Here is a 25,122-nt window from a genome sequence, read left to right on the forward strand (position 1 = left end):
CAGAGAGATGCAGAGTAACCAGCCGTCGGCTTTCCAATTCTTTGTTCTCACTCCTGTGAGTGAAGCTGCACTTCCTATGTGGGGGTTCTGAAAGGTTTCCCTGTATCTGTGGGGGAACTTGTTATTCTTTTTGACCATCTGGCATTTTGAGCCTGCTTTTAATTGTTTGGGGAAGTTCCCCACCTTATGAATCTTGACAGGAGGCAGAGTTGCCTCCCACTCTCAGTGCTGAAAATGCCAGTGTTCATGATCTAAGCTCAGCCAAGGAGACAGCAGCGCTCCAGAATCACAGAGACCACAGGGCACATCGGTGTGGAGGACTTGGTCATAGAAGAGTCTAGTCCAGCAGTGTCACAGCAGGCCAGTGTTCACAGGGTCAGAGGAGCGAGCAGCAGCAGCCGGCGCCCAGCAGCATAGCCCTGCAGTCCTCACGCCCCATTCTAAGGTGTGACGTTTGGCCCTTTTGCCAGCTGGCAGGCCCCACATCTGATCCTCCATCCTTCCTGCCAATCCTGTACCCCAGTCTATATCCTTTCAATAGTTCCTTTTTGGCCTAAACCAGCCAATCCATGTACACTGCTTGAAACCAGGAATCCTAACTGATAATAACATGCTTTCAGAAAATTCCCCCTTTTAGTTTATACAGAGAAGCAAAGCCTGAATCCAAAAGAATGCTTCTACTGTGTGAATTTTCCACACCATCATATGGTCACAAGGAAGGTGTCTGCTGGCAAAAGACCCTTAACACCCTACAAATCACATGACAGGAGGAAAGGGGGACAAGCCAACGTGTGAATTGCAGTTAGGTCCTCAACTCACCTTATGTTCAGTTCTCATCGTAAACCCACAGGATAGGTATTGTACTAGTGTGCTCAGGCTGCCATCACAAAGTACCACAGACTGGAGGGCTTAAACCACAGACATTTTTATTTTCTCACAGTTCTGGAAGTAAGAAGTCTAAGGTCAAGATGCCAGAAAATTCTGTTTCTGGTAAAACCTCCCTTCCTAGCTTGCAGACGGCCACCTTCTCACTGTGTCTTTGCATGGCCTTTCCTCTGTGTGTGCACAGAGGAAAAGATCTCTGGTATCTCTTCCTCTTCTTACAAGGACACCAGATTAGGGCCCCACCTTCTATGACCTCATTTAACCGTTACCTTCTTGGAGGCCCTGTTTCCAAATACAGTCATACTGCAGGTTAAGTCAATAAATGAATTATTGGGGGACGCAATTCAATCTGTAACAAGTATTGTCTCAATATTGCAAACAAGAAACATGAGGTTAAAGTTCTTGTCCAAGATCTAGATAAAGCCTTGGCACTTTTCAGTCTGCTTATGGTTTTCAGTCTTTCTTATCAAATCTTGGAAATTCAAGCTTCAAAGTATGAAGTAGAAGAAAAGTATGGTGTATCATAGAGCAGTGAGAAATGAATGAACCTGAGATGAAGCCAGTGTGACTGTCTGCCAGTCAGCCCTGGAGCGAGGGGATGGAATAACCCAGATATATCCACTGGCTCCTCTCCAAGCTTCAGCCATGCCATGGCTGGCACATCACTGCCTCGTAGCAGCTTGGGTCCTGTGTTTGGGTCCTGACTCTCATATGACTTTGTGAGTGCTGGCAAAGACTCCCTCCTTGACCAAACTTTAGTCGGGTTCCCTGAAGCCTTCTTCTCAACTAGGCCTTGCCCTTGACCTGATGAGCCAAGTTTTAGCAATGAATCTTGTTAAGTCCATTTACTGAGATTCTCTCACCCTCAACATCCAATCAAGCTCCTCTTCCTCCACCTAATCAAGTTCCTGTTAGTAATTTTCCATCCACTCCCCCAGCGTGCTGATTGGCTGTAAATCCCCCCTTATCCCTGATGTATTTGGGTTTCAATCCTCTCACCTATTGCAATAATCTTGACCCTTACTGCAATAGCCTTGAATAAAGTGTTCGTTGCTGTTTTTCACAGATATCAGGATAATTTTTCTTTAACAGTTTATTAGGGGCAAGACCACGTCTCACATTTCTCCTTACATATCTCCCCAACACATAGTTGTGCCTCAGCTGGTGCACTGTCAAGAGGCAAGTGAGTGGGTGGGAGGATGGGTGACACCTGAAAGTCCCATGGCCTAGCTACAGAGAAAAGTCAAAGAGCACCTTGAAGCCTATGAAGAATGGACAGTGGGATGAGCCTTAGGAAAAGGAAGATAGAAGAGAATAAAGGGAAGAAAACAGAGGGTTCCTAGCAGCATGTCAGACTCAATCGGAACCACCCTTACACTATCAATTTGGGACACTCCAGGAGCAAAGGGCCCCAGTCTTGATGGCCTGAGGGCCCCAAGTCCAAGGGGCAGCACTTGGCAGAGGGACAAACACTGGATAATTATCCTGGCCCTGACTTTGGTGTTCTCAGCTCTGCGACGTTAGGCAAATCAGCTAACCTCTGTGACCCTCAGCCTTTCCATGCATGAAATGACAGTAACAATGGCTCCCTCACAGGTGCAAGTAAGAATGTAAGTGAAACAATTTGTTTTCTTTTTTAGTATGCTTGATATTTACTGAGAAGAATGCAAATGCTCTTTCTAACTGGTATTCAGGAGCTGGGTTGAGGGCCTGTTTTTGTTTGTCTGTTTTGTTCATAGTATTTTTGCCTAAATGTGCGTATCTGTGGGACTGATGAAATTATGAAAGAAAAATGACAGCTGTGCAAAACTGGTGCATGGAAGAAAAGGAATGTCATGATGTGGGACTGCCAGGTCCACCGGGCCTCTGCAGCAAACCGATGGGGCAGGGAGTAGGTTGGGAGCCAACCAGGCCAGAAGATTGGCTCCTTTGGGAGTTGGTGAGCTGTCCAAATCAATGCCCAGGGAGGTAGAGCCAACCCAGGCTCTCCTAGGTTGGTCCTTGTCTCTAAAGGCAGGGTCTGTCGGTGAGATGTGGTGGGTGGTGATAGTGTAGCTCTCTGGGCACATGTAGGCTAAGCAGTGGCAGCAGCTGGGCTGTGGGTGGTCTGCCCAATATGTCACAGATCTCTGGCCTACAGCTGGGGCTCAGAACATGGTCCAAATTTGCAAAGGAGACATCCTGGGCTGGCCTGAGTAGGCAGCAGCGTGGCTTAAAGCAAGTCCCCTGCCCAGAGGCAGGCAAATGGAGCATCTTCCTGAACAAAGACAAGCACTACAGAGGGATGACGGAGAGAACCAGAGGGCAGAGGAGAGGGAAGGGGACCAAAGGGGCACCTGTGGAGGGTGGGCAGTGGCAGCTTACAGGGCCCTCCCCAACAGGGCCCAAGGGTCTCCCAGCCCAGTAACAATATCTTCATTATCATCCTGGCCAAAACATTGCTTCCTTTCACTGAGGACATTATAAATGTTATTTTTTTATTTTTATTTATTTATTTATTTATTTATTTTTTGAGAGAGAGAGAGAAGATCTCACTCTGTTGCCCAGGCTGGAGTGCAGTGATGTCATTTTGGCTCACTGCAACCTCAGCCTCCTGAATTGCTGGGACCACAGATGTGCGCCAGCATGCCCGGCTAATTTTTGTATTTTTAGTAGAGACAGGGTTTCGCCATGTTGCCTAGGCTGATCTCAAACTCCTGGACTCAAGCGATCCACCCGCCTCGGCCTCCCAAAGTGCTGGGATTACAGTTGTGAGCCATTGTGGCCGGCCACAAATGTTATTTTTAAAGCACACACACATTCCTGGTGGAAGGTAAGTATCCTCAGCACCCATTTCCTGAAACGTCTTTTAATCATCACAATATGGAGATTGTATTATTATCTCTATTTTAAAGACAGGGCAGTATTTTCCTGGGGCAGTATTTCCCAAATTGTGTCCCACGGAATGCTAATAACAGTACTAAGAGGTAAGTGGTGCTCACTTTTGAAAATGCTCCTATAGCCAAATATTTTTGAGAAATAATGCAGAGGAATGGTGCATTTGTGAGCATAGACCCAGGAGTCAGAGACACCTCGGTTTGGGGCCGAGCCCCACTGATTATCAGCTTTGCGGGTGCAGCAATAATAATCCTAGCTTCCTTATCTGGGATGTGGGAATAATGAAATACCCGCTTCATAAGGTTCGTGTGAGGGTTGATGTTATGAGGTAACAAATGTAAAGCTCTTAGCACATAGCTGGTGCAAAAAAAGTCTTCAATAAACAAGAACTCTTATTGGCATTGTAGCAGGTTAAATATTGTTAACATCTTACAGCTAGACCTATAATTTTTTTAGGGAGAGATCAATTTTGTTTAGGAAAACATCTTAATAAACCACGTGGAAGCGTGGCCAGCAATGAGACTCTGAAGTTACAAGCCATCAATAACCAAGACCAAAACCTAGAAAACCAAGTTTGAAAAAGCCAGAGTCCCATAGAGGGTGAGTACTGATTTCTCTCATTGCCTGACATTATAACAAAGAGGTTCAGGGCACAAAGATGAGATCTCACCTCCGTCTTCACCTCCCTCTTTTTAGTACTACTCCATCCTTTACAGATTCACCTACACACACTCACACATGCACACACACCACTCCCTTTTCAGGAAGAAAGCTACAGGCTCCAGTTAATTAGAAATTCTACTATTTCAGCTTTATTACTTCCTCTTTACTCTCTGAACTTTAAAGGAACACATTTCTGTAAAGTTTAAATTATTTCAATGAGGTGTATTACCTTTTTAACTGGGGGTGGGAGGGAAGCACTTTTTTTTTCTTTTTTTTTTTTTTAATGTTGAAGACTCCACTCAGTCATTTGAGCTCCAGGAAGCCTTCCCTGGCCACCCATAAGTTAAGAGAAGAGCCCCTCTTCTGAGCTCCCAGAGCACCCACTTCATACCTATGCTATAGAACACACCGCCAAGGACGGAAATTATCCAAAGGTTTGTGTCCATTGATTGCCATGCCAGGCATCCAGCTCTGCTGAAGCACGCAGGGGCCCTGACTTCCTCATTAGGTATTCTCAACACCTCCACCAGCAGCTGGTAGGCAGCAGAGCTATTGTTACTGAGCTGCCCACGGCACCAATGGATCTATGAATGAACCTGAACGTCTTCCCTGGAGAAAAGCACTTGCTTGTCAAGGGAGGAACAGGGGTCTGAAATGCTAACCCCTGCCCTATAGTATGGGTGTGCATACGGTGCACCTTCCAAAGCCCAGAGTGGCATTCTTATTACATCCCGGAAACCCCCTGGTCAGGGGCTTTTGGGGTGACATCCAATATGTAAATACCAGGGTCGGGTCCTGCTGAGTGGCATAACAGTGCCATATGTGAAAGTTCCACCAGCAGCAGAGGGCTCTTTCATTAGTCATTTCACTGCACACAGCTGTAAGGAATCTGGCGAAGCTTGATTTGGCTGGGAGGAGTGCATTTTCCACTTGTAGGCGTCTTGAAAACTTTCATACTAAAAAAAAAAAAAAAATTAACAACAAGAAAATCATCATAGTCCAAAATGAGAAGCCAGAAATTGAAGGTGGAGAGCCAGGGTAGCAAACATAATGGAGGGACTCCAAGACCGGGCTTCCACCAGGACCCTACACTGACTCACAGATGTGTAATGGTCATGGCGAGCCTTACATGTAAACAGAGATCCCAACATGTCCCAGAGGTAGTGGCTGTGGAAGCCTGGGCAGATGCCAGGCAGTATTCTAAGGTTAAGCATTGCTATGGTTTGAATGTGACCCCCAAATTTCATGTGCTGGAAACTTAATTCCCAAATTCACATATCGATGACATTTGGAGGTAGGGCCTTTGAGAGGTAATTAAGATTAAATAAGGCCATGAGTGTGTGGCCCCCACGGTGGGGCTGGTGGCTTTATAAGAAGAGTTAGAGTAACCTGGCCGGGTGCTGTGGCTCACGCCTGTAATCCCAGCACTTTGGGAGGCCAAGGCGGGCAGATCACGAGGTCAGGAGATCGAGACCATCCTGGCTAACACGGTGAAACCCCATCTCTACCAAAAAAATACAAAAAAATTAGCCGGGTGTGGTGGCGGGCACCTGTAGTCCCAGCTACTTGGGAGGCTGAGGCAGGAGAGTGGCCTGAACCTGGGAGGCGGAGCTTGCAGGGAGCTGAGATCACACCACTGCACTCCAGCCTGGGTGACAGAGCAAGACTCCGTCTCAGAAAAAAAAAAAAAAAAGAAGAGTTAGAGTAACCCAAGCGGACAAGCCTGCTCTTGCCCACTTGCCATGTGATGCCCTCTGCCACGTGAGGATGCAGCAAGAAGGCCTTCACCAAATGCCAGCACCATGTGCTTGGACTTCCCAGCCTCCAGAACTATAAGCAATAAATTTCTTGTCTTTATAAATGATCCAGTCTGTAGAATTCTGTTACAGCAATGGACTAAGACAGGCATGATTTGGGGTACAGAGAAGGAAAACTGAGAGGTCACAGAAGAGAGAGGAGGGTGGAAGCTGGGGGAGAGGCACTGATGGAACCAGCTTCCACCCTTCCCTGCAGGGCTTGGAAAGACCCATGAGGACACAAGGGAGAATAAAAGGAAGCAGCCCTGATTGCCATGGCTGGGTCAGGGTCAGGAGGCTAGGACTGCTTTATGTCCCTGCTATAATGGACTTATGGGTTTTTTAAGATTTTTTAAAATAGATTAACTATAGCTCCTAGAGCTGACTCTACTGATAACTTTACCCTGGACTCCCTCCCTGATTTTGACCTTAGTTTGTGTGGCGGGGGGGGGGATGAGAGGCTGCGGTCCAAATGGAATGCAGTTTGCCTGTCCTCTATCAGCATCAATGCATCACCTTTCCCCCGATTTTTACCTCATGATATATTTATGCATTTAACGCATGTTTATTGAGTGAGCTGCATGCAGCAAAATGCACGTAAAAAGCAATTTTTTTTCTTTTTTCTTTGTCCTTTCAACTCCTCTCTCTGGATTTGCCTTGTCCCTGCACTTGAGATGAAAGCTAACCAATACCACGGATTTTCTAGCCACTCTGAGCCATTAAATAAAGAGGCTCTTTAAAACAAACAAACAAAAAAAAAAGTAAAAAACAGTCTACTCAACCTGAAGCTTCTCCCCTCTCAGACTCCTTCACTTCAGGTTTGGAAACTCGGTACCAAGGAGGAAGGCATGGACTTCACCATTTTCTCTCCTCCACCTCTCGTAGCCAGCTGCTAATTCTCAAGCCTCAAGCTGTGAGAGATTGAGAACTGAGGGAAAGGACACAGTACTTGACGGCTCTTACTGTCATGACGCGGCCTTGGTGCCCTCTGGGTTTAGCATGTTTTCCAACGCTTTCCTTTCCAGCCTCACTTAGGCACATTGCAGTTAAAGAATATGGCCACCAGGTGGCAGTAAAGGCCTTTTTTTTTCCTGGCCAGTAGACCCTACCCTCCGGTTTTATATGGCTACATAATTTCTTTAAGATGATGTCAAATATGCTTTCCCTACATTTCAAAAGAAAAGAAAGTAAACACTTAAAACCACAAACTGGTCAACTTAGCAAAAACTAAATATAATTTAAAGATGATGCCCTAGGGAATAAACGTGTAAAGAAAACCTCCCAAGTTGTTAATTATGTAATTACATAACTAATTTACTAAGTCTTTCTCTTCCTCAAATTATTACTGTGTAAGTCTAAATCTTATTCCCAGATCTTGATCATAATTTACCTTCCCTTAATTTAGAGTCAGAAACTTTTCCCCAAAGGCTCCTGTATGGCCAATTGTCATTTAAAGACCTTTATTAATAACAACTATTATACTAATAATATCCATTTGTTTTTTACTATGCACCAGTTACAGTTATGTTACAGTCACTACTTATAGTTATGTGTTGACTACACACAGACTACACACTGCGATAAAACCTAACTGTGGTATTATTTTATCCTCACACCATCCCTACATGTCACCACCACTGCCCCTGCCCGCATTTAGGGTTGCCAGAAAAAATATAGGCCGCACAGTTAAATTTGAATTTCAGATAAACAACAAATAATGTTTTAGCATATGTCCCACGCACCATTAGGGACATAGTTATTGCATGGGACATAAATATTTTATGGGACATATTTACACTAAAAAATAATTATTTATCTGAAATTCAGCTTTAACTGGACATCCTAGATTCTTATTTGATAAATTTGGCAACCTGACCCCCATTTTATGGATAAGGAAACTGAACCTCCAGGAAGGTAAGCAATGTAATGAAGGCTAAGAGCTGGTAAGCAGCACTGTGGAGCTGTGAACCCCAGACCCTCCGAACCGGGTTCCCTCCCTACCATACTGCCCCTCCTTGTTGTCTAGGGAATTATTCTCATCTGCCAGCTGCTGGTAAAATAATCTGCCATCCTCAAGTAAAATAATCCTTGTCACTGTTCTCAACTAAATAGAAGAAAAGCTTTTCTTCCCAGCCAAGAAAGAGTCACTGAAAGACAAATTCTCATGACTGATTTTCCCGTATCTGTCTTCCTTGCCAATTTATCGTTTCTGGAAAAAAAAAAATGAAAATCCCCCTTATTTTTTTCCCCACTGATATTCATATTTTTGTAACTATTTCAAGGCTACCTCTAGTAAACTGAAATGTAAATACAACAGTCCATCCCAATTTGTTCTTCTGGCTTAATTACCTGAAACATAATACAGTAATTTAGAACTACGCATAAAGAAAAAAACAAAACAAAATAAAACTGTAATGTCATTGCACTATGAGGATATCAAAACTTTTTGTTGTTGGTTTTTTCCCAGCCATATCTTCCAGTATTTGAGTGATGACAGACCTAGTCAACTTGTATTCCTCTGCAGGATTTACTGTCCTGCACATAATAGGAAAATAAAGCCATGTTACAGTCCCACAGCTATACGAGAACACCTCTCCCCCACAATGTCAAGGTTAGTCCCTAGCAGAAAAAAAAGCGGCAACAAAGGAACGTTTAAAGGAGTTTAAACATGCAAAGTGCTTAGAACAGTGCCAGCCAAATAGTAAGTGCTCAGTAGATGTGAGCTAGTGTTATTATTAACACCTAGAGACATTACCAATGGCCATTACCAATGGGTCTAGAGACCCAGAAATGGCTTTGCATTAATAACTAACAAGCCATAAACAATGCAGAATGAGAGAGAAGGAATGGTGGTGCCCAGAGTGAAAAAAAAAAAAAAAAAAAGGACTGGGAGAGAATGGAGGAAGGCCATTCATTCATTCAACAACCATGTCATGAGTGAGTGCTATGTGCCAGCCTTAAAGGGATGGAGAGCCCAGTGAGAGAGGCAGGTCTTTGTAGTATGGTGTGATAACTGTGCACTGGAGAGAGCAATACCCAGTACGGCATGGGAGTACAGAAAAGGGGAACCTTGGCCAGTCTAGGAGGTCAAAATGAGGTCAGGGAAACTTCACAGAGTGAGACCTCAGCTGACTCTTACTGACCCAGTAACTGCTGACCAGGCTGAGGCTGAGAAGATGGCGCATTCCAAGCAGTGGAGGCAACAGCAAGCAAAGGTGCAGACTTAAAACAACAAAGTGTGTGCAGAGGAGGGGGAGACAATTCAGTTCCCTTCTCTTTGGAAAACCAGTCAATTACCAAGCAATGTAAAGTTACTGGAATGACGGAACACCCATATGTGGGCCCCTGCACAAGGAAGTACAAATGCAAGACTTCTTCCATCTTCAACCAACAGGAGTAAGACGGTGGACACCACCAGATGAGAGAGTTGATGTCGTGGAGAAAGGAGGTTTGTCAGCTTCATGTTAACCACTGAAGAGATGTTACATGTTACATACATATATATATGTACATTTTTTTTTTTTTAGACAGAGTCTCGCTCTGTTGCCCACACTGGAGTGCAGCGGTGAGATCTCGGCTTACTGCAACCTCCGCCTCCCAGGTTCAAGCGATTCTCCTGCCTCAGCCTCCTTACATGTTATATCTTAATTAAGTTATTAATATCACTTGCAAATAAATTCATTCTCACCAATACATGGGGCTTTCACATTGATCCTCATAAGCACCCTCCCTAAATCTAAAATAATAGATTTTATTACTCCCACCTTACATATGAGAAAATGGATTTCCACAGGGATTAAAAGATTTTTCTCAAAATTATATAGCCAATAACAAGAAGAGTAGAAGTTGATCTTCAATGTTGTCCATTATTTTATTCCCCTTCTTTTCCACCTCTTTAATTAAAACACAGCCTTCAAGACCCTGCTTGAATCCCACTTCCTCTGCAAAGCTCTCCCTCCCTCCCCCACAGCACATGACATAGAGCCTTTCATATACCAAGTATGCAATAACAGCTTGATGACTGGTGATGATGATCAGGTAGCAACTGTCAGCCTGTGTGGATGCCTTGTGACCACTGGATAAAGGGGCAACTGCAGTGGTCTGGACTCAGGAAAGAAGTCCCCTAGGAAGGACTAGGCTTTGAGCCAGGTCTTGAAGAAACTGGTAGCTGTGAACTGGTGGAAGCATATGGGGTAGGAAGGAGAACATCCCACCGGTGATGGAGAAGTAACAATTTGTACAAAGACACGGAAGCAAAGTGAACCAAAACTATGCCTATCTTCTATGTCTGCCTTTAATATTATCCTTGGCAATTCCTTTATAATTAGAGAGTGTCTTCATCTGTTTATGCCACTGTAACAAAATACCTGAGACTGGGTAATTTGTAAACAATAAAAAATTTATTTCTCACAGTTCTGGAGGCTGGGAAATCCAAGATCAAGGTGCCAGCAGGTTTGGTGGCTGGAAACGGCCTGGTCTCTGCTTCCAAGGAGGTACCTTACGCACTGTGTCCTGACATGGTGGGAGGGACAGAAGGGCAAAAAGGGGGGTGAATGCTGTATCCTCATGGCAGAAGAACAGAAAAGAACAAACACTCCCTCAAGCTCTTTTGTAAGGACCCTAATTCCATCCAGGAAGGCTCTGCTCTCAGGACTTAGGCCTGTCGTCTTAATACTATCACATTGGTGATTAAGTTTTAACATATGAACTTGGGGGAACACATTCAGACCACACCAGAAAGAAATAGGCAATTCTAGACAAAGTATTTCTTCTCTTTACTTGCTTCTTTAGTCCACACGTATTTTGAGTGCTTCTCATGGGCAAGACTCTATGGGAAGCATAAAGATGAATCAAACACAGCTCTTCCCTCGTGAACAATGTGTTCACTAAAAGAGGAAGACCTATGCATGACTATCTATAACGAAAGGCACAAACTGGAAACAGCCATAAACAAGCTATGAGCTGCTACTAGTGCTTATCACTTCAAAGTAGGGATCTTTGTGGGCCGGTGGGCCCAATGTGATTCTATGAGTTCTTATGAAAGGGGTGCATTAAAGCCAGAGAGAAACTGTCTGTTCCCTTCCTGGAAGCAATGCTGTTGATGCTGGATTTTCAAGGGTACAATTTTCACGGCTTAAGATAGGTTCTGGGCCATTCTAGGCAGAGGGAACCACATGAGAAAAGATATAAAGGTGGAAAAGTTCCAGGTCCCACAAAAAAGAGTGAGGAATTTGGTTTTACTGCAACATTAAGATAAAAAGAAAAGAATGGAAAATGAAGTTGCAAATGTGGATGAAACCAGGTCATACAGTGGAAAGAATATGAAACTTTGAATTCCTAAAACAGAATTCCAATTCTGCCACTTACTGTCTACATGACCTCAGGCAAATTACTTAAATCCTCTGAGCCTCAGTTGCTTCATCTGAAGAATGCGACCAGACAGGTGGATTTTCAGGCATGCAATAAGGTGGCACACCTTCAATCAGAGATTCTTTAAATATTTCTTATTCTTTAAATATTCAAGTTTTTCAAAGGAGAGGTTGAGCATTGAGTCATGCAATGACTCCTAGCCTTTCCTCCACTGTCCCAGGAATTGTCAATATTCCACCCAGCCACATATGACCCTGCAGCTAATCTGAGTCCTTTCCTTTCTTTTAATTGGGTACAAAAGTTCCCTGTGGATTTGATTTTCGATGATGTCTTGGTATTTTTTTATAGGTTGTGAATTTGAACTTCTGCCTTCTGGCTTACACTTGGCTCAGTGCAGCTCAGGGAGTGGTTTGAAGGTTAAGGGTATTACTGACTTAGAGTGCTCCATAAGAATAGCTGTTTCTGTGTGACCATTGACAGAAAAGGAAAAACAAGCTATGGAGACTGGCTAGGGGGTCATTTAGAAAGACTATTTCATAATCCACAAATAGCAACTTGAGGCCTGAAATAAGAGAATAGCACTGGGAATAGGGAAGAAAGGATAGATTGAAAAGCTCCTGTGGAAATGGAATCCCCAGGATTTAGCAAATAATTGCATGTTAGATGAGGTAAATAATGAGGTTGAAATCTGGCTCTAGGAAGATGGCAAAGCCATTAACATAACTAGTGATATGGGGAAGAAGAGCAGATTTAGAAGCAAAGTCAATGAATCTGTTTGGGACACAGCTGGAGGAGCCAGCAATCATAAAAACAGACAGAAAAGGACATCAGGCAGTTAAAAATGCAGCCCTGTTCAAGAAAGAAACATGATAGAGTAAATGGTTAATGCACACACAGCCTTTGTGTGTTCCAGGTGGTTCTATGAACTAGAGCGAGGAGGCTGAGCCTGGACACTGTGACCAAACCATGGACTGTTCCCACATTCTACAACCTGCATTCATTCCTTGTAAATCTCTTGATGAATTTTTCACACATTCTGGCCTCAGTTATGTGGATATGGTCCCCAAAAGATGTGAAAGTCCTTACTGGGACAAAAGAACTCTTTCTCTCCCCTGTTGAGGTTTGAGTCTTCAAAATGAACTGATAATAGACTGATTAACTGGAGAAAAGGCATATAGACTTATCAAGTGCATGGAGCATCACAGGAAAGTGAGTACCCAATAATCCAACATGCTGTATCAATAGAAGTTTATATACTCAGATAATAACCTGAAACAAAGTTCGTCTGGGCTCTGGGTGTGGCGTCAACTCTAACGTTCCTTCCTGCGAGTCAGTCTTCCCTGTTTGATGAGATTATAGGGAGTGGGGCTCAAGTCAGTTGCTTCCTTCTGGAGGAGCTTCCCTTAGTCAGATATGGAAACTTCAGAAAAAGTGCTTCCCTTTGTCAGATATGGGAACTTCAGAAAAATTTTCTCCCTGTGCTTCAGGAGAGGCAGATAGGCAAGAGACAGCGGACAGGAGGTGGTCAGAGATACCTTGTTTCCATGGCTGCTTCTTTAGTTCAAAATACTCAGCATGTCAAAATGCCATACTTAGGAGTGTTGTTTTCTGAGCTTTAACATTCTAATCCCCAGAACCTGTAAATGTGCTGCTTTACATGGTCAAAGGGACTTTGCAACTATGATTAAATAAAGGACTTTTAAATACAGAGGTTATTCTGGACTATTCAGTGGGCCCAATGTAATCCCATGGGTTCATTTTTTAAATTTTTATTTTACTTTGAGACAGGGTCTTGCTCTGTCACCCAGGCTAGAGTGCAGTGACACAACACAGCTCACGGCAGCCTCAACCTCCCGGGCTCAAGCAATTCTCCCACCTCGGCCCCGAGTAGCTGGGACTACAGGTACGCACCACCACACCCAGCAGATTTTTTCATTTTTTTGTAGAGACAAGGTCTCGCTATGTTGCCAGGGCTGCTGTCAAACTCTTGGGCTCAAATGATCCTCCTGCATCAGCCTCCCAAAGTGTTAGGATTACAGGCGTGAGCCACTGCGCACAGCTCCCATGGGTTCTTATAAGGGGGATGCAAGACAGTCAGAGAGAGAGAGAGACTGGAAGATGCTATACTGTAGGCTCTGAAGACAAAGAAAAACGCCATGCAGGAGGAACACAGCCCTCCTGATGCCTTGATTTTAGCCCTGTGAAACCCAATCTGGACTCGTCACCTTCAGAACTGTATGATAATAAATTTGTATTGTTTAAGCCACTACATTTGTAGTAATTTGTCACAGCACCAACAAAAAATCAATACAATAATCATAGTGAATGGCCTAGGTCTCATGGTCAATGGATTAGCACTTGAAACGTTAAAGGCTGTGGACAGATAACCTTTCAGAATAACTAATGGTTAGTCTACAGCTGTGGTTCTCAACCAGGGATGATTTTTCCCTACCCTCCCAAAGGATATTTGGCAATGTCTGGAGATACTTTTGATTGTCACAACTGGGGAGTGGCTGCTACTGGTATCTAGTGGGTAGAGACCAGGATGCTGCTAAACATTCCACAATGCACGGGAGAGCCCGCCCCCCCACTGACCCCACAACAAAGAATTAGCTGGTACAAAACTTCAATAGTGATGAAGTCAAGAAACCCTCTCTTACAGATTGCAACTAAGTTCAGAAACTACACTGACAGTGTAAAGAATGTCATCGGGAAAAAAGAGAGACATGAGATTTTTCTACCATGTATGAAGTCGTTTTGACAGAAAAATGAAACCTGACTCTGATAAGTCTCTAGAGTCAACTATAATCATGCATCCCTTAACGACAGCAATACATTCTGAGAAATGTGTTATTAGGTGATTTCATTGTGTAAATATCACAGAGTGTACTTACACAACCTGGATGGTATAATCTACTACACACTTAGGCTATATGGTACAGCCTATTGCTCCCAGACTACAAACCTGTACAGCATGTTACTGTACTGAAAACTGTAGGCGACTGTAACACAATAGTGTGTATTGCAACATATCTAAACATAGAAAAGGTAATGTGTTGTGCTACCATGTTACAATGGCTACATAACTAAGCAATGGGAATCTTTCAACTCCATTATAATCTTTTTTTTTTTTTTTTTGAGATAGAATCTTGCTTTGTTGCCCAAGCTGAAGTGGTGCGATCTTGGCTCACTGCAACCTTCACCTCCCAGGTTCAAGCGATTCCTGCCTCAGCCTCCCAAGCAGCTGGGATTACAGGCACCCGCCACCACACCCGGCTACTTTTTTTATTTTAGTAAAGACAATGTTTTGCCATGTTAGCCAGGCTGGTCTCCAACTCCTGGCCTCAAGTGATCCACCCGCCTCAGCCTCCCAAAGTGCTGGGATTACAGGCGTGAGCCACCACGCCCGACCTCTATTATAATCTTATGGGACTACCATCCATAATGGTTCATCGTTGACAGAATATTTTGTTATGAGGGGCATGACTGTACTAATTTACAAGAAACAGAAAATGGAGGATACTGTTACAGAGGACCACAGGCATCCAATCCATAAAAATCTACAGGACAAAGTACTCAGTTTTTCAACTGATTGCCAGGATAACAAAACAGAGAGGGACATGGAAGGGGAATCTATGGAATAAAAGATTTAAGAGAAAAAGGAACCAACTATAATATGTGCAGCTGATTTTTATCTTAATTCAAACAAGCTGTAAAAATTGTGCATATGCATTTATGAGATAATTATAAATTTAAATACTGACTAGTTTATGATATTAATGAATTATTGCTAATGTTAGTTGAATTTATTGTTTTGTGGTTACTTTTTAAAAAGGAATTATTATCTATAGAACTACATATTGAAATATTTGCAGATGAAATAACATATTGGCTGGGAGCAGTGGCTCATGCCTGTAATTCCAGCAATTTGGGAGGCCAAGGCAGGAGGATCACCTGAGGTCAGGAATTCGAGACCAGCCTGGCCAACATGGTGAAACCCCGTATCTACTAAAAATACAAAACTTGTGGCCAGGCATGGTGGCAGGTGCCTGTAATCCCAGCTATTCGGGAGTCTGAGGCAGGAGAATTTATTGAATCTGGGAGGCGGAGGTTGCAGTGAGCCGAGATTGTGCCACTGCACTCCAGCCTGGGTGACAGAGCAAGACTCTGTCTAAGGAAAAAAAAAAAGAAAGAAAGAAAGAAATAACATATCAAATTTGCTCCAAAATAATACAGGAGAGAGGATATGTGTAAAACAAAATCAGGCCACATGCTGCTAATTGTTAAAGCTGGACAAAAAGTACATGGGGACTTATTACACTATTATCTCTACTTGTATGTATCTTTGAAATTTTTTTCATGTTAAAACATTTCTTTAAAAAAAAAGAGTATTATGAAAGTATCTGGTTTCTACGAAAAATGATTATTTTTCCAAAAGAGAGAAAAGACTGGCCCCCCTCTTTCTTGTATTTCCTCACCTCTCCAAATAATCTGCTCACATTTGTCACACTTAGACATGTGCTCCCGACCCAAACAGAAAAGAAAAAGTAACCAGAATTCTTGTAGCATCTGTTAGGTGCTAAATAAGTAGAAAGAGTTCTAGTTTAAAATGTGTGACATTCACTTGTGAAGACAGAGAAGCTGAGAGGGGACCCCGTCCTTTGTTAGATGCTGCTCTGCTCATTCTCCATGGCTCTTGGAAACAAGAGCCCAAAGAGAAACTGGTCCTCAAGAGACAGATCCAAGACTGAGCACAGGCTACGCCACAACCTCCACCAGCTGTGGGAAAAGACCATGTGGGGTGTGAATGGCAGCACCCAGCACTGTGCCTGCCGCGTGGTGGCGCTTTATAAATGTTTGAGAAGGGAGAGAGGAAGTTGATTTAGTGGGTTTAGTTTTTAATTGGGTCTGAATAAAAGGTGAGCTTTTGCAATATCCTCTAATCCCCCTCATATATCCTTGTTGCAGAAGGAAAAGTTGAGTGAGAATGTAATTGCCAAGACCCCTTAAAGTGACATTGGTCATAGCAAATGTAGCAGCTTCCTGCCTTACTAAGAACTTTTAGGACGTGCTGGGCTGACGCTGTCAGCTGCTGCTTTGTAAAAATAAGCCCTATAATTAGATTGCTACTCCTTATGAAGCCCACTCAAGTGCTATCCTTTATTTTTAACCTTTATCACAGTCCTCAAGACAGAGTGTGTAGGGCCTCGCCCACAGCTGCTGAGTCAAACCCCAGCAGGCTCCACCCTTCCTGCTCCCAGCTGCATTCCGCTAAAAAAAGGCCTGCCAGCAGCCTACGCAATGGAACGCGGGGTCTAAGCACACAGACGGTTGCAGGGAATCTAATATCCAGGCAGCACTGAGAAAGAACAGCTGCGCCAAATTTGAATCTTCTTTATTTACTCAGCCAGGCAGCTAACACACACAAATAACATTGTTTCATCTTGAATGCACAGAATTCACAACTGCCTTCTTAGCTCACTCCTGTTGCTCAACAATCCTTTTTTACACTTGCATGTTTAATGTAAATAACTTTCACAGAGTCTTCCACTTTCTCTGTATCGATATTACGAACCTGTTGGCATAGTTAGTTGAGACAATAAACATTTAATAATCTTGTGGGTCAGGAGTGGGAATGCCAGAGGAATGCTTATAGCAAAGTCAAGGGAAAGTATTATAGGGCAAAGGGATGTAATGGGGATTTCATTATATTTTGTTGCTTTCTTTTTTGTTGCTTATAACTTGGTATTCACATTCTCTAACAGATTCTTTGAAAAAGTGTGTGCATAGCAAATAGGGCTCCATTTAAATGGACACATTAGGGTGAAGGGTCTATAGAGTTGTTCACTGCAGGAATTAATGTCATACTCTGTCTGCACAAATAATTGTATTAGGTGACAGGCAATACCAACGTTTATATAATTTGTGCTATATATAGCAGATGTAACTCAGAGGCTGTGTACTTAATCCTATAAAAATCTCAACATAAGACACTCTTCCTCCAGTGCCCACAGATCCCACAAACCCTTTGCATTCTAATTAAAGCTCTGCTGGGGTTAAGGCTAATTGGTAATAAAACCCAGGCCTGTGAGAAAGCCTTTCTGTAAAACAAAGAATCCATTTGTCATGCAAATAAGCAGCCTCCAAAGTGGTAAATTTGAATTTTGAATGTTCACCTGTTATCTTAACATTTCTTAGAATGTGGTTCAGCCAGTAATTGCTAGATCATTATTTTCCAGTTTTCCTCATTGCCATCCTTCAAAGAGCTAAAGGGCATGTTATTTGTATTGTTAAATTAATATTTTGTTGTTGTAGACCTAAAGTAAATGAATCACTGTAGTTGTCTTTGGTTTTCTTTGGAGAATGTGTTTGCATTCTAAATATTTTCCAATACAATAATTTCTTTGAGAAAATTTGTCGGTTTCCTTAAATAATAATCTTCAGGTTAGGCTTGAAATTCAAAAGTATGGTGGTTCCTTCCTGATGAAGGTCCTTAAAGGTCTTTACACTCCATTCTTGAGGAAGTTTCTGGGCACTAGAGGGCGCTCTCAGCACACTGGGACGGGATTTGTTAGTTGCACAGAATTAAGAGCCATGCGCTGATTGTTGGGCCTTGGGCCCTGCTGGGGGCCCAAAATCAGCCTGCAGAAAGAAGCCACCTCCGTGAGCCTGCATTGGCTCTCAACTGCAAAGTGCCAATTCATCTGCCTTCAGTGAACCAACTGACCAAACCAACTGCTGAGCTTTCTCCCCCAGGGGAAAGGCTGGCTGCTACAAAGATTCTTTTTTACTCATTTCTGAATAAAATATTTCATGGTCAACAATTGTTTTCACATGCACTACCTTGCCTGCTGTCCTTCACTGACAACATTTCAGGGTCTCGCAAGGCATGGAATACAATGCATGTTCAGGACTGCAACCTGATGGTGATGTGTAATGAAGTTTAGTGTTGGATTTCGATCTTGGCCAAATGGTGACTCCTTGGTGACAGGTCATGTGCTTACTTCCTCAGCAGATGAGTTCTCCTCCAGCCTCACTTGTGACCAATGATGTATCATGAACACAGGCTGGTGCTGAAGCTCAGTATGTAGCCCCCTTGGCTAGAATACACACTTGATAATAGTAGCAAAGTGAAATCAGCAGAGTGTAGCAATGCCCTGAGAGGACCTAAAAGAACTGGGTGAAGGAGGCCTTAAGGATTGACAACTAATACCTAATGGCTAAGACCTAAGAGGGTAGAAGCAGAAGAGGTCCTCCACAATTAGCATTTGGCACGTAATAATGTGAAGCAAGACACATCACTTCCTAGTAATATGCTATAAACAGGTGATAAAGGGCGAGGGGTTGCTCCCCAGTGAGGAATCCAGTCCAAACCCAGAGACCAGCTCACAGCCACCCGAGTCCAAAACAACTAGATCTTTGTTAGACAATTGCCATCCAAACCAGAGTGTTATGAAATGAATTGTGTACCTCCACCCTTCAAATTCATATGTTGAAGTCCTAATCCCCAATGTATTTGTATTTAGAAACAGAGCCTTTATGGAAATAATTAAAGATAAATGAGTTCATAAGGGTAGGGCCCTAATCCAGTAGGACTGGTGACCTTATAGAAAGAGAACGAGACACCAAAGATCTCTCTCCACAAACGCACACAGATGAAAGGCCTTGTCTATGTGAGCACACAGTGAGAAGGTTGCCTTACTAGAAACCAACCCTGCTGGCACCCTGATCTTGGACTTCTAGACTCTAGAACTGTAAGAAAATAATGTCTGTTGTTTAAGCCACCCAGTCTGTGTACATTCTTTTATGGCAACCCAAGCAGACTAATAAACAAGAGGTTATGGCAACACTGACAAAATTCTTGAGGGATCTTTGAGGAATACAGAACTCTCCTGAAAAAAAAAAAATGAAGGAGCATTAAAAACCAGTTTTAGGTGTTTTACCTATAATCTACCTTGTTCATGTAAAAACGACAGCAATTTCTTAGGTAAATTTTGTGCAAATATCCCATTTCATCAAATCTAAGAAACCAATGCTTATAAGGCATTACTGTATTTGCTATTAAGAGAAGAAAAGTGACAATTGTTATGCTCCATGTATTGTAAGACAGTTTTTATTTCAAAGACGGTAAAATGTGAAAATATGTATGTATGTACATATACACATATACGTAACATATACATATACATCTTAGCATTGATTGGTAAGATTAACTCAATGTTTATTGACCCATTTGCCAGGAACTTTTTGCCTATACTAGACACTGGGAAAATAAAAATAAGCAAACAAGATGTCAAGTCTCAGGAGTACTAATTCACTAACCCTTTGAAGGCACAGAAATATAAATGTATTGTGGCAGTCCCCAAGACTCCTCGTATTACGCTGCCCTTTTAGGCCATCTAAAGTAGTCACAATAAGGAGTGTTGTCTCAAGTGCCCCAAACACAGTGTGCTCTTAATCTGAAATTTACTCATATACAGACTTGCAGTATAGTCTTAAGGGTGGCAGCTAGGTACAATAATTCTACCCCCGAACAAGGAATAAATAAGTAAACAAACATCTCTTAAGAAATTGACTCTTGGCCAGGCGAGATGGTTCACACCTGTAATCCCAGCACTTTGGGATGCCAGGGTTGGTGGAACTCTTGAGTCCAGGAGTTCCAAACCAGCCTGGGCAACATGGCGAAACCCTATCTCTACAAAAAATACAAAAAAAAAAAAATACTTGGCTATGGTGGCATGCACCTGTAGACCCAGCTACTAGGGAGGCAGAGGTGGGAGGATCACCTGAGCCTGGGGAGATCAAGGCTGCAGTGAGCTATGATCATGCCTCTGCACCCCAGCCTGGGCAACAAAGTGAGACTTCGTCTCAAAAAAAAATAAAAGAAACTGACTGACTCAACTTTCGATCCACCACAAAGACTTCCAAGTTGTTACGGGTTGAATTTTGTCCCCTCAAAATTCATACATTGAAGTCCTATCTCCCCAGTACCTCTGAATATGGCCTTATTTGGAAATAGGGTTGTTGCAGATGTAGTCAGTTAAGATGAGATCATATCCGAGTAAAATAGCCCCTAATTCAGTAAGGCTGGTGTCCTTATAAGGGGGAATTTGGACACAGGCATATGTAAAAGGAGAATGCCAAGTGAAGATGAGTTATGCTGCCACAAGCTACAGAATGCCAAAGATTACCAGCAAGCCACCCCAAAGCTAAGGGAGAAACATGAAACAGACTCTCCCTCACAGCCCTCAGAAGGAGCCAACCTGGCTAACACTTTGTTCTCACACCTCTAGCCACCAGAATCATAAGACACACTTTTCTGCAGTGTCATCTGCTCAGTTTGTGGTATTTTCTTACAGCATCCCTAGAAAACTAATGCACAGTTGTTTTAAATTACTTTACCTTCCCTTATATTTTCTTGTCTTGTATCTAATTAGGATATTACAAGTGCATGTTAACTGTTATTATGATGTAGGTGCTTTTTTGTCCCTATTGAACCTCATACAATTTATCCTAAAGCATTTTCTAAACTTCTTTTTACACGAAAGATCACTTAGGAGACCTGGCAGAAAAGTGAGCAAGTGAGACTGGTAAGTGAGCAATCAGTGGGTTAACCTTTCACCTTTTTCATCACCAAGTGCCAAATCAAAAGAAGATGCCAGTGAGGCATAGCATTGGAGTAGAGTGAACAATGGGTGCAAACAGATGAGAGTTCATGGATGTGCTGGGGAATGTGTTATCCACGTTACTTGGTAGTTTTCTAAAAGTTACCATTCAACATTTGGGAGGTTTGAGGGTCATGAAATGGGAGTGGCTACAAAAGTGTGCAAGGTATTCGATGCCATGGAGACCAAATGCCAGCAAAGACACTCCTCTGCAGAGGCCGGAACCATAATACCATCTGGGTAATTGAGATACAGTGTCTAAAGAGAATGGTGAATGTAACTGTGGATCACGCAGGATTTTAGTTGAGGAAATCTGATTTGGCAGACAGAAGAATATCCAGAGAAATTCTCAGTGTCAGATGTGCTCTTGACTGGGAGAGAAATCTAATGCCCCATGGGACAAAATAGTGAAACACTGAAGAAAGAAAGAGGATCACAGCCAAATGGCCTAGGATTCATCTCTGGTGAAAAACTGGAGTGCTGGGCATGAATAATACTGAGGTTCCACCTATGAGCTGGCCCATGAAAACAGGACAGGGGCAACCAATGGAAGGCTGAGGGGACTGCTGCAACTCTCAGCTTCGTGGTCACTCATGACCATATCTGATAGTCCTGATCCTATCTTGCTGGTAAGCAGTAAAGCCAAGTCTTTTGGACAATGGCATCAAAAACCCCTATATAGATGGACCCAGAAAGTGATGGGAGACAGGCTTTACCTACTAGAGATACTCATCAATAGATATGACCCAGAGAGCTGGAAAAGAACAAAAGGAGCAAATAAGAACATTCTAAAACTTACTAAATAACTGAGCTATTTATTAGTTTACGCTCTGGACTGAATTGTGTCCTCCCAAAGTTCATGTGTTGCACTCCTAACCCCCAGTGTGGCTGTATTTGGTGTAAGGATGTAACTGATGTTAAATGGGATCATAAAGGTAGACCCCAATGAAATAGGATTAGTGTCCTTATAAGAGGAGACACCAGCGAGCTTACTCTCTCTCCCTGCCGCATGAGCACACATCTACAAGGCAGGAAGGAGCCCTCACTAGGAACTAACTGGCCAATACCTTGATCTTGAACCTGTCAGCATCCAAACCTGTGAAAAAATAAATTTCTATTTCTGTTGTTTAAAACACCTTGTCTATGGTATTTTGTTATGGCAGCCCAAGCCAACTAATACAGTATGCAATCAATTTAAAATTTCTTATTAACAGCTATATTCAATAAAAGTTAATCTACCTCTGAGGAAAGTTTTTTAAAGATTAATAGTTGCTTATGAAAGAAAAACTGTAGTCAATTATTTGTTGCATCCTACCTTTAATATAATGAGACATAAAAGCTTTACCCATGAATGTCATTTAGTGTCCTTTCCTCATTTTCAAAGTAGTTTATTGTTTAGAAAACAGAAAAGAAAACCTAGTACACATCCATAGCTATTTCTCAGGAAACATTCTCAGAAGTAGAATTACTAAGTTAAAGACTATGCATATTTTAAAGCTACTTGATAAATATTTCCCAAGTATCCACCAAAAAGGTTGAACCAATTTACACTCCACAAAGGAGCAGAGAAGAACATCTATTTCCATGTACTCATGCCACCTCTGAATTTCATTTTAAATTTTATGTCTTAGTTTGTTATCTCCCAGAAGCAGACACTGAGACAAGGATTCAAGTGCAGGCAGTTTATCTGAGTAATACAGAAATACAGAGGGATGGATATGGGTAAGAAGTAACCAGAAGCGAAGGCAGCCAATAAAGGGTGCATTACTAAGCCACCTATCACAGTGGGCAACTGGAACTTAATCTTGCAGAGAAACTCTGGGAAATAATACAAAATGCCCCAGCATTATCCCACCTAAAGGGCTAAGGTCTTACATGACAACTCCAAAAGTCATTAAGTGAGGGCTACCATTTTGTTTTGTTTTGTTTTGAGACGGAGTCTTACTCTGTCACCTAGGCTGGAGTGCAGTGGCATGATCTTGGCTCACTGCAACCTCTCCCTCCCGGGTTCAAGCAACTCTCCTGCCTCAGCCTCCTGTGTAGCTGGGATTACAGGCACCTGCCACCACACCTGGCTAATTTTTGTATTTTTAGTAGAGGTGGGGTTTCACCATCTTGGCCAGGCTGGTCTTGAATTCCTGACCTCATGATCCACCTGCCTTGTCCTCCCAAAGTGCTGGGATTACAGGTGTGAGCCACTGCCAAGTGAGGGCTACTTAAGGAAAAGGGCACAGGGCCTTCAGCATTTTTTTTTAAGCCCTCAGGCATGGAGTTGCAAATACTGCCCTTAGAAATCTAATGGGGAGCGCTGAAATGTCCAGAAATGTGTCCCAGCGCTGATGGCATCTGGTACACTTTGTCAACTTGATAGGGATAAAATGATAGGTTTCTGTGTAGTGAAGAATTAACTTAGGGCTTTTGGCTACCGGGAGGTGATCTCTAGGCCCCTGGAATGCCCAGCGTGTTATGAGTATCTTTGTTGGCCTGAGGGCTTTGGCCACCAGTCTAGAGATGTGATTTATGGTGAGGGCTTTGACCCTCTGGACATCAAAGGCTCAGGTGAGCATCACTGGTTGGCAGTATTCTGTATGTATTGTCACACATCGTAACCAGGAGGTAACACAATCCATGACTCTGTAGAGAGAGGAAGATGGGAAGCCCTGTGCATGGACCCCTCCAGGCTCTGCCCTATGTCGCTTCCCTCTGCTGATTTTATTATCTGTGTCCTTTTGCTATAATAAAATTGTAAGCATAATAAAACTGCTTTCCTGAGTACTGTGTGTCATTCTTGTGAATTACCCAACCTGAGGGTGGCCAGACAAGGTCTCTCGGCTTTTTCTTTTTTAAGTACTTTAACTTTGTTAATTTTTTTGTTGTAAATAGCTTATTATTAATTATTTGCTTATTAATTTAGTTTGTAGCTTTAAGTTATTATATAACCAGTTCTATCAGTCTTTTCCTTTACAGCTTTTCTGTACTTACAAAGGTCTTTCTCACTACAAAATTATATAGGCATTCATCTTTATTTTCAAGTTTTTTAGTGTCCTTCTCCCACATTTAACTAATTCCATTTGGAATTTGTTTTCTTGTACTCTTTTAGGTAAAAATCTATTGTTACTTTTTCCCAAACTGATTCTCAATTGACCCAAAACCACCTTTTGCCTCACTGTATTTTTCTTCATTTTTATCACATGCTAAATTCCCACATACACTAGGGTTCATATGTGGTCACTCTATTCTGTTCCATCTATATACAGTCCATCACTCTTGTCTTCAGATTCTGTGGGTTTATAATACATATTAATATCCCATTGCAAACATTTTTCCTACTTATTGTTCCTATTCAAAATATTCTTAGTTTTCTTATTCTTCCATCATAAAATTTTCTGCACCCCAAGAAAATGTTTTACTCAGAACATAAAAGAAAAATTAAAATCACATCATCAATTCCCATCACACCTGCCCCTCCCCAATAAAATCCCACTAGAATTTTTTATTGGAATTGCACTAAACTTAAATATTAATTTGGGAAAATTTGTATACCTACAAAACTGAATCTTTCCATTCAGAAACATGGTATGTCCCCCAGTAAAAACAAATACATTTTTATCCTAGTACTTCTATTTCTTTAATTAAACCCTGACTAAATTAGAGAGTATCTAGGTAGAAGACTCACATTGTCCACCAAAGTCTACCATGGGTTAATTTTGTTTCAAAAACATTAAAACCTATACAACATGAAAAAAATAAATAAATACATTTTATAAATTGTTTTAAGTTGGCATCCTTCATACAGGTCTAGCAAGTTTCTTGTTAACTTCAAGGAAATAGCATTTTTATGGCTCTTAATACACACTGCTCCAGGA

General features: G+C 42.3%; 1 protein-coding gene and 2 long non-coding RNA genes across 3 annotated transcripts in view, besides 8 other annotated features; all 3 read right to left on the reverse strand.

Annotated features, from left to right (window-relative positions):
• Positions 1–25,122, reverse strand: part of TNFSF4 (TNF superfamily member 4) — a 277,864-nt gene that overhangs the window by 240,372 nt on the left and 12,370 nt on the right. The window lies entirely within an intron of this gene.
• LOC100506023 (uncharacterized) overlaps positions 1–25,122 on the reverse strand; it is a 242,096-nt gene that overhangs the window by 178,182 nt on the left and 38,792 nt on the right. The window lies entirely within an intron of this gene.
• Positions 563–612: an enhancer, noted in NCBI's record as "active region_2105". NCBI's record gives its function as "activates an Ori minimal core promoter by ATAC-STARR-seq in GM12878 lymphoblastoid cells {active_cell/tissue: GM12878}" and the evidence as "EXISTENCE:reporter gene assay evidence [ECO:0000049][PMID:35858748]".
• Positions 1,193–1,352: an enhancer, noted in NCBI's record as "active region_2106". NCBI's record gives its function as "activates an Ori minimal core promoter by ATAC-STARR-seq in GM12878 lymphoblastoid cells {active_cell/tissue: GM12878}" and the evidence as "EXISTENCE:reporter gene assay evidence [ECO:0000049][PMID:35858748]".
• Positions 1,413–1,462: an enhancer, noted in NCBI's record as "active region_2107". NCBI's record gives its function as "activates an Ori minimal core promoter by ATAC-STARR-seq in GM12878 lymphoblastoid cells {active_cell/tissue: GM12878}" and the evidence as "EXISTENCE:reporter gene assay evidence [ECO:0000049][PMID:35858748]".
• Positions 2,923–3,052: an enhancer, noted in NCBI's record as "active region_2108". NCBI's record gives its function as "activates an Ori minimal core promoter by ATAC-STARR-seq in GM12878 lymphoblastoid cells {active_cell/tissue: GM12878}" and the evidence as "EXISTENCE:reporter gene assay evidence [ECO:0000049][PMID:35858748]".
• Positions 3,083–3,132: an enhancer, noted in NCBI's record as "active region_2109". NCBI's record gives its function as "activates an Ori minimal core promoter by ATAC-STARR-seq in GM12878 lymphoblastoid cells {active_cell/tissue: GM12878}" and the evidence as "EXISTENCE:reporter gene assay evidence [ECO:0000049][PMID:35858748]".
• Positions 4,548–25,122, reverse strand: part of PRDX6-AS1 (PRDX6 antisense RNA 1) — a 43,574-nt gene continuing 22,999 nt past the window's right edge. The window contains exon 2 of the long non-coding RNA NR_125960.1: positions 4,548–5,381. This is a non-coding gene — a long non-coding RNA (PRDX6 antisense RNA 1). The remainder of the gene's footprint in view (positions 5,382–25,122) is intronic.
• Positions 4,941–5,280: an enhancer, noted in NCBI's record as "active region_2110". NCBI's record gives its function as "activates an Ori minimal core promoter by ATAC-STARR-seq in GM12878 lymphoblastoid cells {active_cell/tissue: GM12878}" and the evidence as "EXISTENCE:reporter gene assay evidence [ECO:0000049][PMID:35858748]".
• Positions 7,039–7,138: an enhancer, noted in NCBI's record as "active region_2111". NCBI's record gives its function as "activates an Ori minimal core promoter by ATAC-STARR-seq in GM12878 lymphoblastoid cells {active_cell/tissue: GM12878}" and the evidence as "EXISTENCE:reporter gene assay evidence [ECO:0000049][PMID:35858748]".
• Positions 18,029–18,323: an enhancer, noted in NCBI's record as "tiled region #8886; K562 Activating DNase unmatched - State 25:Art". NCBI's record gives its function as "activates a minimal TATA promoter and a strong SV40 promoter by Sharpr-MPRA in K562 cells {active_cell/tissue: K562}" and the evidence as "EXISTENCE:reporter gene assay evidence [ECO:0000049][PMID:27701403]".

This window comes from Homo sapiens, chromosome 1 (genome assembly GCF_000001405.40).
Source record: "Homo sapiens chromosome 1, GRCh38.p14 Primary Assembly".
Classification (NCBI taxonomy): Eukaryota; Metazoa; Chordata; class Mammalia; order Primates; family Hominidae; genus Homo; species Homo sapiens.